Source organism: Homo sapiens, chromosome 9 (genome assembly GCF_000001405.40).
Source record: "Homo sapiens chromosome 9, GRCh38.p14 Primary Assembly".
In the NCBI taxonomy this organism is placed as follows: domain Eukaryota; kingdom Metazoa; phylum Chordata; class Mammalia; order Primates; family Hominidae; genus Homo; species Homo sapiens.
Genome location: NC_000009.12, coordinates 107,280,203 through 107,295,582, shown reverse-complemented (window position 1 = coordinate 107,295,582; position 15,380 = coordinate 107,280,203). Strand labels below are relative to the sequence as shown.

General features: G+C 42.6%; 1 protein-coding gene across 3 annotated transcripts in view, besides 2 other annotated features; it reads right to left on the bottom strand.

Annotated features, from left to right (window-relative positions):
- RAD23B (RAD23 nucleotide excision repair protein B) overlaps positions 1-12,304 on the bottom strand; it is a 48,916-nt gene extending 36,612 nt beyond the window's left edge. Inside the window, exon 1 of one of the 3 annotated variants that reach the window (NM_002874.5) lies at positions 11,888-12,304. In NM_002874.5, the coding sequence (NP_002865.1) occupies positions 11,888-11,953 (66 nt within the window). In that variant the 5' untranslated portion in view covers positions 11,954-12,304. Of the gene's footprint in view, positions 1-10,669; positions 10,815-11,395; positions 11,476-11,887 lie in introns of those variants that run through there. The other 2 variants (NM_001244724.2, NM_001244713.1) reach the window with 2 other exon arrangements.
- Positions 11,766-12,325: a silencer, noted in NCBI's record as "silent region_20156". NCBI's record gives its function as "represses an Ori minimal core promoter by ATAC-STARR-seq in GM12878 lymphoblastoid cells {active_cell/tissue: GM12878}" and the evidence as "EXISTENCE:reporter gene assay evidence [ECO:0000049][PMID:35858748]".
- Positions 12,816-12,975: an enhancer, noted in NCBI's record as "active region_28750". NCBI's record gives its function as "activates an Ori minimal core promoter by ATAC-STARR-seq in GM12878 lymphoblastoid cells {active_cell/tissue: GM12878}" and the evidence as "EXISTENCE:reporter gene assay evidence [ECO:0000049][PMID:35858748]".

The window sequence follows — 15,380 nt, the reverse complement described above, 5'->3', positions numbered from 1 at the left end:
CTGCAGGTGACCACTTTCTACCTTATTAAAAACAGAAGACAGAGGAACTTATTTTCATCTTTGTCTAACTTTGTTGCATCCAGACCCACCTACATCTCCTTCTCACCTATTAAATGAAAAAAGTATCCCTTTCTTTCAAACCTAATTATTTCCACCTGTCCTCTGGTTCGCCTCCAAGTATTTTTCAGTATCTTACTAAATTCATTATATTTCCTATCTCCCCCAGCTTTTTCAGCCTCTCTCTCACTCAGTTCACTTTCATTCACACTTAGACCTAATACTTCATCATTTTAAAAACAAACACTTAACAATCACGTCTCCTCCTAGACTCTCTCCCCCCACAATCTAATTCTTCAAAAACTTAAATACACACCACTGTCCTCACTTATTCATAATCCCAAACCAACTACTCAAAAGAGAGCAATACTGTGCTGATAAACAAAAACATGAAATTTATTCTCATTCTGCTGCTTATTTTCTCTGGTAGTCCCCCCCCACCCACCGCTGGCCATTCCATTAACACTGCTCTTTACCAACATCACTGAATTCTGCAACACCATAATGATACCACACTTCTTAATCCTCTCCTATCTTCCTCTTGTCACGTGTGACAGTACTGACCTGTCCCTCCTTTACATACTGCCATCTCTTGGCTTCCAGGATGCCACACTTTTGGTTTTCCTATCTCTCCATTCACTGCTTCACGAAATCCTCCTCCCTGGCCAGCCCTTTAAGTGCTACTTAGACTTCCAGGATAATCCATCGTGTCTACTCCTAGTTTCAATAACCATGCAGATGTCATCTGTATTTCTAGCCCAGCTCTCTCTCCCTGACCTTCATTTATGCACACTTAACTCTCTACTGAACACCTTCACGGGATGTCCTAGAGGTATTTAAACCATAATGTATCTGTAGAAGAACTGTGTCTAAATTACTTTGTTTAAATCATCCCTAATCCAACCTAATTGAGCATACTTCAAAACAGATTAGCAAGAAAGACTGCCTTCTTTCTGGATGCTTCAAAGGAAGAGGTATGAACTCAGCACAAGGTTTCTCTTGGAAAGGATATGGCCCACCAACAGATGCAATTATGACTCCTTTAACTGCGCTGAGCCCCACACCAATGCTCCCATTCCAGTAAGCCATCTCAACAGAGTGAATATAAACCTGAGCACCACAGTCCCAGTACATAACCAAGGCTAGAACTTTCATTGTGCTGCATTTCCCACTACATAAATAATGGTGGTTTATCATCAATTCCACTAGAGACAAAGACATGGTTAACATTCAAGAAATCAAACATTTTTTCTAGCTACTTAATTCTCTCTTAAAAAATCGTGCATTTAAAAATAAAAACGTACTCAACATAATATTAAACATGATGGGCATGGTTTTTCTTTTTTCCTCCAAAGGAAGACAATCATAAAGTGTATTTAAAAGTGCCGCCACAAAGCTAAACTTACCATCTAATTATTCCCTAATGTGAGCACTACCGTGCATCTCTGTGGCACTGGCACTATTCTAGTTCAGGCCAACAACCATTAAAAGTAGTCATTTCCCCTGTTATCCCAATAGTTTGAGGTCAGCCTGGTCAACATAGTGAGCCACCATCTCCAAAAAAATTTTTTTAATTAGACGGGTGCTGTGGTGCCCGCTTGTAGTCCCAGTTACCTCAGGAGGCTGACGTGAAAGGATTGACTGAGCCCAGGAGTTCAAGGTTGGAGTGAGCTATAATCTTGTCAGCGTACTCCAGCCTGAGCAACAGAGCAAGACTCTGTCTCTTTAAAAAAGCAGTCATTTTTCATTCGACAAATTTAGGTCATGCATGAGACATCAAAATAATATCTTGTAAATCATATTCCTATGATAGTATAATGAGCTGCCATGTCAATCTTCTTACACAGCACTTTGCATAAGATTTCTAGGCTACTGCTTGTTAATTAGGTCAGCAATTGCATATTCCATATAACAGCGTGCTCACTGTTACAGTATTATTTTTTCTTCTTACTTTTGTAACTATGTTGTTCCTTATTACTGTTGTAACTATATACAGTATAAATAATTGTGTAAAGTTTTAATGGGTAGCCCTGAAATATAACATCTGAATAAAAGCTAATGCAGGCTATGTACTTGCCATATGCCAGGCAGTGTACTAAGAGCCTCACAATAATTAACTCTTTTAATCTGTACTACATCTCTATGAGGTTGTAGTAGCCAACACCCAAGATGGCCCCCAATGACTCCCATCTCTTGGTATTCAAGCCTTTGGTACATACCCTTCACATACTAAATTATGGCTAGTCCACAAGAACAGTAAGATACTGCTGAAGTAAAAGTGTGACTTCTGAGGCTGGTTTATATATAAAAGCCATCGTTTCTATTTTGCTCTCTTGGATCACTAACACTGGGAGAAGCCAGCCACAATGTCATGAGGACATATGGGGAGGATCTGAGGCCTCCAGTCAATAACCATCACCAAGCTGTTAGCCATGTGAGGAAGTCACTTTCAGTGGGAACCCTCCAGCCAGTCAAGCCTTTAATGCATAGAATGAAGTCCTTAAATCCAACTTCCTGAGACTCTTGAGTAAGAACCACACAGCTAAAATATCCCTGAATTTCTGACTCACAGAAATTATGAAATAGTAAGTGTTTACTGTTCTAATTAAGTTTTGGGGTAATTTGTTATGCAGTAATAGGTTAACTAGTACACAGGTAGATACTATTATCCTCTTTTTCTAATGGGGACACTAAGGCAGATGAAATAAAAAGGTTAAACATACAGGCTCTAGAGGCAGAGTCTCTAAATTTGAATCCTGGCTACTCATATGGGAGATGGTATTTGTAAATAACAAGTATTGTTAATGTGTGTAAGTACTGACCAGGCTTTTTTTTTTTTTTTTTTTTTTGACAGAGTCTCGCTCTGTCACCAGGCTGGAGTGTAGTGGCACGATCTTGGCTCACTGCAACCTCCACCTCACGAGTTCAAGCGATTCTCCTGCCTCAGCCTCCCAAGTAGCTGAGACTACAGGTGCACGCCACCACACCTAGCTAATTTTTTGTATTTTTAGTAGAGACAGGGTTTCATCACATTGGCCAGGAGGGTCTCGAACTCCTGACCTCGTGATCCGCCCACCTCAGCCTCCCAAAGTGCTGGGATTACAGGCATAAGCCACGGCGCTCAGCCTGACCAGGCATTTTTAAAGGCAATCTGCCACACTTTGACCAAATAATTTCGCATCTAGAAATCAATGCTAGAGGTGCTCATGTAACTACTTCAAAGACAAAGGTACAAAGTATGTGCACTACATTGCTTTTTGCAATACTAAAAACTGAAAACCACCCTAAACATCCACAAAGGAGAAATGGTAAAATAAATTAATGTACATAAATTCATTTGAACATTATGCAATATAAATGAATATTTATAACTATGTTTGAGGAAAAAAAGCTAGTTGCTAATTAATTTTTTTAAACAAATAGTGTAGTTGTGTTCATGTATTATGTGTAAATGTATTTTTTGAAAAGACTAGAGGGATATACAGAGTCTACAGTGGTTCCTTAGACCGATGGCAAAAGCCATTCTCATTTTACTATACTTTATTTACTATAATGAGCCTGAATTACTTGAGTAATTTAGGGAAAACTGGACTTTCAAAGAGAAAAAGAGATTTCATTTAAAAGAAAAAGGTCTAAGGCAGTTCTAATACTACACGGCCTAATTAAAAAATAATAGCAGCAATTAAATTTTGGCAATCAACAATTAGCAAAATAAAGGAGATTCCCAAAGCCAAATGTGTACTAAAGGATTTCTTATGTTTACACTACAGGTAATGCTTTTTCTTTTTTGGTTCTTCGGTTCTTCTCCTTCCACTTGAGAAACTGGTACAGGCACCAGAGTATTTCCTGGGGAATTTCTGTCCCAAGGTAGGTTCCTGATATTTCTACAAATACAAATTTGATTTTAAAAATGTCAGCTGACTTCAGTACAAATAGGAAAAATCTCCTCACTGGACCCAAGGAATAAAATAATTTAGTACAGGAGATTTTTACAATTGAAACAATAACTGATAGCATAACATTAATTATGTGAGAAGAGGCAGGCACTATAACAAAGGCAATCCTCAAACTGGGGTTATGATCCAAAAGGCTATTATTTTAAATATATGATTTGAAATCCAAAACCCATTTGTCCCACAGAAATTAAGCCAACCAATTCATGCCAATTTAATCTATTATAAAATATATTCCTAACAGTATGATTTCAACAAGACCAAAAGAAACACAGGAATTTGAAAACTGAGTAAGCAGAATTCCCAAGATACCTGTAAGTTTCTATATAGGCAAAGAATGGATCTCGCCAGTGCACTAGCAAAAACAAGGTGCCTACCTAATTCAACCAGAAGTGTGTGGGGAATAATTGGTGAGAACAACTTTATCTACCTGTTTAAGCCTCCAGAATCTGTTCATGTATTGTCAGTCATTTGTAGCTGGTCTACCTCCTCGAAATAAGTTTATACAATGTTTACAAGTTTTATAAAGCTCATTCAGTTGTAAAATTAGCTTTCGTGACACTATAAAAAACATTTATTTATCTAAACTTACAGGGAACAGATGGTGTAGTGTCCTTCGTACGATTCACTGTGCCACAGTAGGGTTAAATTTAGCAAATTTCTTTCAGAAATTAACTGGAATCCTATACGGCATCTATCGCGGCAGGACCTTGTTCATTGATTTTACACACTGTTCAAAATTGCTGATTATGTCAATCTAAGAAAATGAGAATATCTCATTCATACAAACCTTTTAAAGAAAGAATAGTGAAATGATCGAAATAAAAACTGATGAAAGCAGGATTTGTTTAAAAACTGCAAAATTTATTTCTAATTTCACAATTCACTAAATATTTCCATGCCCATGATCTCACCTGATTTTCACAACTGTTAGGAAAGCAGTTCAATTATTATTACTCTCATTTTAATAAAGAGGAGAAAGACTTTTTTAAAAGTATTGTGCTTAAGGACAAAGCACAAGTACAAAGTTGTGAGGACTCCCTTTTAGGAACAGTATGGTGGATCTGAAAAGAGCAAGATGTGGAAAAAAGTAAACAGAATTAAGAGATACTCCTGAATTTTCTTGAGAAGCAGGGAAATAGGGCAGCAGCTAAAGAGGGATGTGGACACAAGGGAGTGTATCATTAAGATGGGGAAAAATGTTTGTATACCCTAGAAATGGGAAAAATCAGTGATGAAGAGAAAAGATCTGATGGAGTGATGTCCTTCACACATGACAGGGGATGAGGTACAGTGGAAAAGTGGAAGGACCTGCCTTAGATAGCACCGCCCACAATTCAGAACTATCTACAGTAAGAAGAGGCTAGCAGGTAGGTAGCTACGGTAGGACCTTGTAGACATTCTGTCTCGATTATTTCCAAATTCTCAATCAAATAAAGACTAGGGTCATCAAGTGAAAATAAGCAGGCTAGATGATATGAAAGCATCCTGTGGCAGTGGAAGAGTGACTGGACTAGTAAACTGTAAGACTGTCAGGTGCTGCATACTAAGGACCCAATTAAGGTTCCTTAGTGTGCCTTAATGTTCCTTAGTGCTCATGAACTTAAGTTCCTTAATGTTCATAAATTTAAGCAAGACAAGTCAATGTGGCTACAAGGTGCATCTCTGGCCACTCAGGTGCAAGTACAAACACTGAGTTGAATTTAATCACATTTGAGGCTTTCTAAGCAAGAACAATGGAGGGAGAGTGGTACCACATTGCCAAGCACTGTTAATATTATTTCAAAACCCATATACCAATAAGTTAGTACTTTCATACTAGTATTCTCATTTTACAGCAGAGGACCAAAAGGCACATACTGAGTAACTTGCCTGAGGTGACACAGCAAGTGGTACAGCCAACTGTACCTCTCAAAACATATCCTAATTCCATCTACTTCTCTACATCTCCACTCCTACTGCCCTGGTTCAAGCTGCAATTACTTAAAACTACTGCACAAGCCCCCTAACTGATGTCTCTGCTTTTCACTCTTGCCCACCCCACAGCATCAAAGTAACCTTTAAAAATCCTACAAGAAATATTTCTTGGCTAGGTGTGCTGGCTCATGCCTGTCATCCCAGCACTTTAGGAGGCTGAGGCAGGAGGATCACTTGAGGCTAGAAGTTGGAGACCAGCCTGGATAAAACATCAAGACCCCATCCCTACAAAAAAAAACTAAAATTAGCTGGGCGTGGTGGCATGCCCCCGTAGTCCCAGCTACTGGGGAGGCTTAGGGTGGAGGATCACTTGAGCCCAGGAGTTTGGGGCTGCAGTGAGCTATGATCATGCCACTGTACTCTATCCTGGGTGACAGAGCAAGACCTTGTTGAAAAAGGAAGGGAAGGAAGGAAGGGAAAGGAGTGGGGAAGGAAGGGAGGAAAGGAGGGAAGGAGAGGAAAGGAGAGGGAAGGGGGAAGGGAGGGAGGGAGGGAAGAAGGGAGGAAAGGAGGGAGGAAGGGAGGGAGGAAGGGAAGAAGGGAGGGAGGAAGGGAGAGAGGAAGGGAGGGAAAAAGAGAAAAGAGAGACAGAGACAAAGAAACAAAGATTTCTGTCCTGCTTGTAAATGTTTCCAAGTTTACCCTGAAAACCCCTAGCCTAACTCACTTGCCTAACTCACTCTCTTATCTCTTACCCAACTCACCCTTATCTCTTACCCATCACCTTAGCAATGCAGGCTTTTTTTCAGTACCCAAAACACATTCTTAAAGGTCTTTGCTCTAGCAGTTCCCTATAGAAAACATTCTCTTCATTCTCGAGTGCTCATTTTTACTCAGCTCTCAGCTTAAATGTCACCTTATTCAGAAAGGCCTTCAGTGACTAGTAAATTTAAAAGTAGCCACCCAGATCTCCTGAGCTCAGGAGTTCAAGACCACCCAGGGCAACATGATGAAACCCTGTCTCTACTAAAAATACAAAAAAATTAACCAGGTGTGGTGGGGCACACCTCTAGTCCCAGCTACTTGGGAGGCTGAGGCAGGAGAATCGCTTGAGCCCCAGAGGCGAAGGCTGCAGTGAGCCAAGATGGCGCCACTGCACTCCAGCTTGGGCTACAGAGTAAGACTGCATCTCAAAAACAAAACAAAACAACAACAAAAATGTAGCCACCCAGTGAAGTATTATCAAATACTTTATCCTATTTCAACTTTCTGCATAGCACTTACCATTACCTGGTTTTTAAAATGTATTTTTTGACAGTTTTATCCCACTAGAATGCACATACCATCACAGCAGGGCCTGACATCTAGTAAGTACACAGCAAATATTTATTAAATAAATAAATCAACATGCAAACACACTACGTTGGGGGATCACTGCTTTGCCAGTTCACCAAAAGAATATATTCAGTTCATTCAAAGATCTTTACTAAATGCCTACTGTGTGCACGGCATCAAAACAGCAAAAGTCTGGCAAAAATGTACCAGATTTCTCAGTTTCTTCCTGTATCTTGTTCTGCCAATATGCCAAGAACTCTTAATTTCACCTCTGTGATATAGTATTTTTAATACATTTACTACTCATTACCTTAATCTAGGAAGCTTGTATAATATGAAATTGTATCTAGCATGACTATATTGAAAATACAATAAACCACCACAGGAATACTTCACTAATAAATGATGGCTAGTAAATACTGTATAATACAGAGCAAGTACTAAAGCAATATACACACACAGTTTTTTTGTTTTTTTTTTTTTTTTGAGATGGAGTTTCGCTCTTGTTACCCAGGCTGGAGTGCAATGGTGCGATCTCAGCTCACTGCAACCTCCTCCTCCCAGGTTCAAGCGACTCTCCTGCCTCAGCCTCCTAAGTGGCTGGGATTACAGGCATGCACCACCATGCCCAGCTAATTTTCTATTTTTAGTAGAGACCAGGTTTCACCATGTTGGTCAGGCTGGTCTGGAACTCCTGACCTCAGGTGATCCACCCGCCTCGGCTTCCCAAGGTGCTGGGTAAAGCAGTATTTTATAACAATCACATTATAGAGGTAAACCACGAAATTAGGTAATTCTTCACAGCACACTAATATGCTATTTATAGATATTAAAACTGATGTCTTTGCAATTCTCTTAGCAAAAACATCCAATGTATATGTAGAATTTTAATGTCACTTATATACTAATCCAATCACATTTCAGCTTTTGCATTTAAAGTCTCATCTCAAATTTACTGAGTTTTGTTTTTAGTTGTTCAAGGCAAACAGTGTCAAGAGTTAGACTGCAGGATTAATTTGTATATCACATACTTTTTCTTGTCACCATTTCAGTGATGCAATAAAATACTGCACTGTATTTTTTTTATCTCAAAAGGTTTATTCCTAAATCTACCTTTCTTAATGTTTTTAAGCAACAGTAATATAAAACACTAATTGACTATAAAACTGAGCTTAAAAACTGTATTCCATTTCCCTCTAAATGTCCATCACACCATTAAACTTCAGAATTTTTTTTTTTTTTTTTTGAGACGGAGTCTCGCTTTGTCGCCCAGGCTGGAGTGCAATGGAGTGATCTCAGCTCACTGCAACCTCTGCCTCCTGGGTTCAAGCGATTCTCCTGCCTCAGCCTCCCAAGTAGCTGGGACTACAGGTGCATGCCACCACGTCCGTCTAATTTTTTGTATTTTTTTTAGTAGAGACGGGGTTTCACCGTGTTAACCAGGATGGTCTCGATCTCCTGACCTTGTGATCCGCCCACCTCGGCCTCCCAAAGTGCTGGGATTACAGGCATGAGCCACCACACCCAGCCTAAACTTCAGAATTTTTAAGAATTTCAGAGAAGCAGTGCTCTATCACACATCTCAAAATGCTTTAATATGTAGGCTACTTAAAAGTCTCCCACAATTTTTACAGTAAAAAACAAAAAAAGCACATAATGAAGAAAATCTCCTAGCAATGGTCTCCCTACCCCACACATACCACCTTCTCATTTTGTTTCTATATTGTTTGAATATTTTATAAGAAGGCTTGCATTACAATTGTAGAAACAAAAAGATCTTTGCAAAGATTAACACTAAAGGCAGTGGTCATGTAATGTATCACAGTAATAGTCAAGTAAATGGTACAAAATGCCTAATAAGTCTAAGAAAGTTTTGTTAAAACTAGGGCAAATAAAAACACCTTAAAACAAATTATCTTGCTCTTTCCATTTTGTATATCCCCCTACTCTATAGCCAATGAGCTTTGACTAAGTCAATAAGGCTCCCAGAAGCCCCAGACCACGTTCTACAGGTCCCTGTACTCCTCCAGTCCTGCCAGCAAAGCTCACTAAACATTTACTTGTTCAACAAATGAATCATTCCCATGATTCCACTTATCTCACAGTCCTTTCTTCCATTTTTGCTCATGCTCATCTCAAGCTCACAAGAGTTGCTATACTGGCTACGTAAGTTACTTAATTTCCTTGGTTCCTTCTAGGTAAAAATTAAACAAGGACAAATCTGTGACCAGACCAAAAACAGGTCTCAATAAGATCCTATCTTATTTTAGATCTATTTCTAATATCCTTGGTTACCTCGTTCTCACAACAACTTAGAAACAGGACACTTAGCGTTGCCCTAGAAAACATAATTTTCATTGTTTATTTTCTTACTGGAATTCTAAGGTGTCGTATCAAAAACACATACTAATTAAAACCCACTACAAACATAGAATTGAAACAGTTGTCATGAAAAATATTTCCTAAAGTCATTAAAATAAAAACTGACAAGTCATTAAATGCAAACGTTCCATATATCCCAGAGGAAATGCTTTAATTTCTTGCCCCGGACTAACAGTATTAGTTTTTTTATACTAACAGCAACAAAATTATATTTATATAAATAGCAGCGAAAGCTGTAGAAACCGCTCCCTAACAATGGGCTTTTCAAAAATATACTTCCAGACGTATAACATATTACTTTTCCTTGGAAATAAACTGGAAAACAGCAAAAATAGTTAAGAATTCACACAAACACAGGTACAGCATTGACTCTCAGTTAACAGTATGCGTAAAGTGCCTAAAACGCTAAACAAATCTTACAGAACGTAAATACTTCAGTGGAGCTGTTGACAGAGTCACTGCATAACTTCAATACACCCACACATATTTACCAAAAAGCCACAATATTTCTTTAGCTTTCAATAATTCTGAAATTAACTGAGTATTATAAGCCGATTAAGTTACTGGGGCACCAACATTTGTTACCACAAAGAACCAAAGTCAAATAGGCATTTTACGTAGTTTGTCTGAAATCATCAAACAAACTCCATTTTAACTTTCACCCTTCAACTTATTAATGCACATTAAGCAGTAAAGAAATATTCAAGAGAAATTAGATTCTATTAGTACTGTCAGTCCACAGGGTATTGTCAATTACTTCTGAGGACACTGAAAAGTTTCTCATGTATAACTGAGATCTCCTGTACTTTTAAGAAGTTAATCACACAGCATACACCCACATATAAATATTCTGAAATCAAATAATTTTGTACCAAAATCCCAAAAAGGCTGTTTCTTAAAAAATTAAAGATGTACAAAACTTAAGATTAAATGAGATAAGTAAAACGTAACACTGTATCTCCACTCAAAGGAATCCATTGTTTAAATAATCGATTCCATTTACTGACCACCAAGTAAATACATACCATCTAATCTTCACATCTCTGCAAGGCAGGTATTATCCCTATTATACAGAGAATGAAACTAACCGTAATTTGCCCAAGGTCATAGCAAATAAGTTACAAAACCACAAATGGAACTCAGGTCTACTTAACACCAAAGCCCCTGATCTCCACCCAAAATAGAATCAACTACTTTTAAAAATAGAGTTGGGCAGAAAGCTGCTGGTTTAAACTTAGTATTATGACAATCTTGGCGGTGTATTTCCGAACATAAGCAGTAAATTTACACTCACAGCGTTTTTAGATTCTTGGCATAAAGTTGTACTGACCTCAACAGTGTCTCTTTATGCAGTCACAAATACAGAAAAATGTATAATGTGGACTTCTGAAATGTTTAAGGCTTTAACTGCAGAAAGGATTCAAAGTTGTTGTTTTTTGTTTTTTTTTTCTTTTTTCCCCCTTGAACTGCTACTGTTTGGGGCATCGGGGGAGGGTGGCTGCAGCGTTCCAACTCCTACAATTCCAAGATTTCTAACACAGAAAACCCGTTAAATCTGAAGTTTAGTTTGAGCCTGGATGGCTGTGAAGAGCTCTAACAGCTAAAACCATCACCAAAGAGGCCTCAAAGTGCAATCTACGCAAGGGTGTGGGTTTGGTGGCGGGAGGAAGGCAGCAGAACGATTCATTTGCAAATAAAAGGGTAAACAATTCTGAGGGGAAAGGGGCAAATTCATTTTCACCACCACTCACCTCTCGGCGGCAAACGGAACCTGATACTTTTTTTTTTCTTAAGGCTCATCTTCTCGGGTTACCAACTCTGGGAACTAAGCGGCTAACCAGGTCCACACAGGGGTAGTGGCGACGCCTACGTCTCCCTCCCCCACCTGTGCACCCATACCAGAAAGCCAGGCTCTACGGCTGAGACGGCCTGGACCTTCCCATCCCCCTCCGGCCCCGCTAGCACGAGCTCCTAGGCCCAGGCCCGCGGGCGTGCGCTCCACGCCATCTGCCACCAGGCCTTCGGCGTCCGGCCACTGCTTCCCCATTCTCCTGCCACAAAGCCCACGGCCAAGACAGGAGGATCGGCTCCGCTGTACGCCGCCAGGGCCGGCACCAGGACCCAGGGCCCTCATCGCGCCCTCCGGGGCTTCCCCCGCTGGAGCGCGCCGCCCGGCCCCACGAGCTCCTGGCGCTCCCCGCGGCCCGCACGCGGCTGCCCCTGCCCCCGGCCCGCGCGCATACCGTCTCCTCGGGGTCAATGTCTATCTTGAAGGTCTGCTGCTGGAGGGTCTTCAGGGTGACCTGCATGGTGCCGCCGCGCAGCTCGGCTGCCGGGCCTGCGCCGGGTGCTGGCCGCTGGGCGGGGTCTGTGGCCTGGCGGGGCCCCGGGGTCGCCCGCGCTCCTCGCGCTCTGGGGAGGAAGGCGGTGGGGGTGGGGGCTTGTCACATTCGCCCAGCGGAGCGGCCTCTCCCCCAGCCCGTGCCCCGGACCGCGCCGCTGCCTCCGCGACTGCGGCCTTCCCCGCGAACTCGGGCCGCCGTGCTTCCTCACGCGCCGAGCGCCAGCCACGGAGTCTGCAGAAGGCGCGAGGGGGTCGGCGAGACAAGCAGGGAATCCGCTAGCTCACCACAGGATGGTGGCCGCCATCATCGTGACTCGCCGAGACGTGCCCCCTCCCCCACGCGAAAAACCTGGGGGGATGGGGCCGGGCGGGCGAAGCGCGCAGGCGTGGGGTGCGGCGACGCTTTGCGCCGGCGCGGCCGAGGACTCCGCCCCAGAATTGGGGGCGGGGCGGAAGGCGGTCCTGGAATGTCGGCGGCCTGGACCCGGATTACGCAGGCGCGTTCCGTGGGCGGCAAGGGCTCCTGGGGCTTCCTCCTAGCGACTATTGCTGGGGCGTTCTCTCCGGCTGCCGCGGCTCCGCCTCTGTGCAGGCTCCGCCCGGCTGCCGAAGTTACGCAATGTGTAGCCCGGGAAGCGCTTCGTGGAGACCCGGCAGAGTGGATGCGGAGCCCTGGAGCGGGGGAGTAATCGGGGCGGAGTTTAAGTGAAAGGATGGCGGTAACCACAGTCTGGGGGCCAGCACCCGCGGGGCGCTTGCTGCGGGGCTCAGCCCTGGGGGTGTCGACTGATTCTTTAATCCCGACAGCACAGACTCCTGAGCTGGACTGCCCGAGTTCAAATATTGTTTTTTCTCACTAGCCTAAACAGATGGACCGATTTAAAATGAAGGTCAAGTTCTGTCACACCTCGGGGTAGAACTGTCCAGTGTTTCCCCATCTAGCCCCGAGTTAAAGTCAGAGTTATTAGAACGGATGCATTAGCCCCTCGCCTTTCTCCGAGTCGCCTTACTCTCCCCACTGGTGGATTCTAGGTTGCCCCCGGCTCCCTTAACATCCTTGCTCAGATATTGCCTTCTTGGTGAGGTCTGTTCTGGCTGCCTTACTTAAAATCCCAACTTCCTATCTCTGTTATCCTGCTCTGTTTTCTTGTATAGCGGGTATCCCTTTATAATTACCCTGTAATGTACGTATCTCTTGTTTATCATCTTTCTCCTTTTCCTGTGAACCCCAGACTGAAGCTGCACAGAGGCAAAGATTTTGCTGTGTTCACCCATGAACATGCCTGGCACATTGCAGGTGCACGGTAAATATTTGTGGAATGGGTGAATGTGCTTCTGGATCCTCAGCAGTAGAATGAGAATAATAATGTCACTCATTGATTATTGGAGGGGGAAGTTGAATATTGTATGTAAAATCATGATAAACAGTCTGTAAGCAGTTAGCTATTAGTAGAAAGTCCGTTTACAGATAGAAAACTGAAGTACAGAGATGTTGAGTAATGCACCTGGAATAACCCAGCCAGTAGTAAATGGCAAATCCACAATGTGACCTCAGACAGAATGACTCCAGAGTCTGTGTCCCAGGGTGTGCCACTATTCCCCTGTTTTTTGTTTTAAAGATTATTCTTATTTTTTTAAAGCGTCTGACTGTCATCCACGCTGGAGCGCTGTAGCACAAACACGGCTCACTGCAGCGTCAACCTCCTGAGCTCAAGAGATCCTTCCACCTCAGCCTCTTGAGTAGCTGGGACCACAGACACACACCACTGCTTCCCAGCTGATATTTTATTTTTTTGTACAGATATGTTCTCCCTATGTTGCCAGGGCTGGTCTTGAACTCCTGGGCTCAAGTAATCCTCCTGCTTCGGAGTCCCAAAGTGCTGGGATTATATGTGAGCCATCGCTCCCAGCTATTCTCCTCTGTTTTATACTGTGCCTGTGGCACATTTGATTTAGTTCAAGTATAAAACACAGTTCTAGTCAGGCCACTAGCTCTATGACCAATTACAAATTACTTCTCTGGGACAGCATCCTCACTAATACAATGTCACTGCTTGGTTTTCAGTGGCTTCAAGGAGCTTGGGTTTAATGTTTTCAAGAAACTTTCCTTGACCAGCTTCTCCCTCCACTAACCTGATATTTCCCCTTTCACAACACATAACTCCCTTCATAGTAATTAAATATGCAATCTTCTGCCCTCTGTCTTCCTGTATCTACTCGTAGTCACCAGGTGGTTTCATCTTGGCCCTTGTTTTGAAATACCTCCAGCCTGGACCTTTCCCCTTAGCTATAGAGTTAGCCAATTGCCTAAGCAATATCTTCACCTGAATATGTAACAAGCCTCTGAAACTTAATGTGGCCAAAGAGAACAATTGATTTCTCTCTGGACCTCCTTCCCCCCTGCAAACTGCCCCTCTCCCAGTTTTCCCCCATCTTAGTTTATGGCCTCACAGTCTACCCAGGTGCTCAGACCAAAAATCTGGTCTTCATCCCTGATAACTCTCTTCCCTCACTCACCCACTCCCAACCACCACATGCAATTCATTATCAAGCCCTGTCAACCTTATTCTCCAAAGTATATCCCCAAGTCAGCCTTTTTTCACCGTTTCTACTTCTACAGCCCTAAGCTAATCCATCATTATCCTTCACCTGCGTCCCACCTGGTCTCTCCGCTTCCACCCTTTACCCCCAACAGCCTCCCCAGCAGCCAGAGTGGCCTTTTAAACCCATAAATCAGAGCATGTTGTATCTATGCTTAGTATCTCATTACATTTTAGAATAAAAGTCAAACTCTTTACGTGGCCTTGGAGAGCCCACATGATCTGACTCCTGCCAGTTTCTCTGACCTCATCTCTTTCCTTCTCTCACCCACTCATTCACTGTCATCCATTTCCCTTTCAACCCTCAAACAGGTTAAGCTGGTTCTAGCCTCAGGGCCTTTGCACTTGAGGTTCCTTCAGCTTGAAACTCTATCTTCCCAGATCTTTGAACAACTAACTCCTTTTCATCTTCAGGTTCCAATTCCAATTTTACTTTTTTAGAGAGGACTTCTCCAACCAATTTAATAATATATATTAAACATGTGTTAAGCCTTTTTTCTTTTTCTTTTTTTGAGATGGAGTATCGCTCTGCTGTCGCCCAGGCTGGAGTGCAGTGGCGCAATCTCGGCTCACTGCAACCTCTGCCTCCCAGGTTCAAGCGATTCTCCAGCCTCAGCCTCCCGAGTAGCTGGGATTACAGGTGCCCGCCACCATGCCTGGCTAATTTTGTATTTTTAGTAGAGATGGGGTTTCACCATATTGGCCAGGCTGGTCTGGAACTACTGACCTTGTGATCTGCCTGCCTTGGCCTCCCAAAGTGCTGGGATTATAGGCATGAGCGTCCTCGCCTGA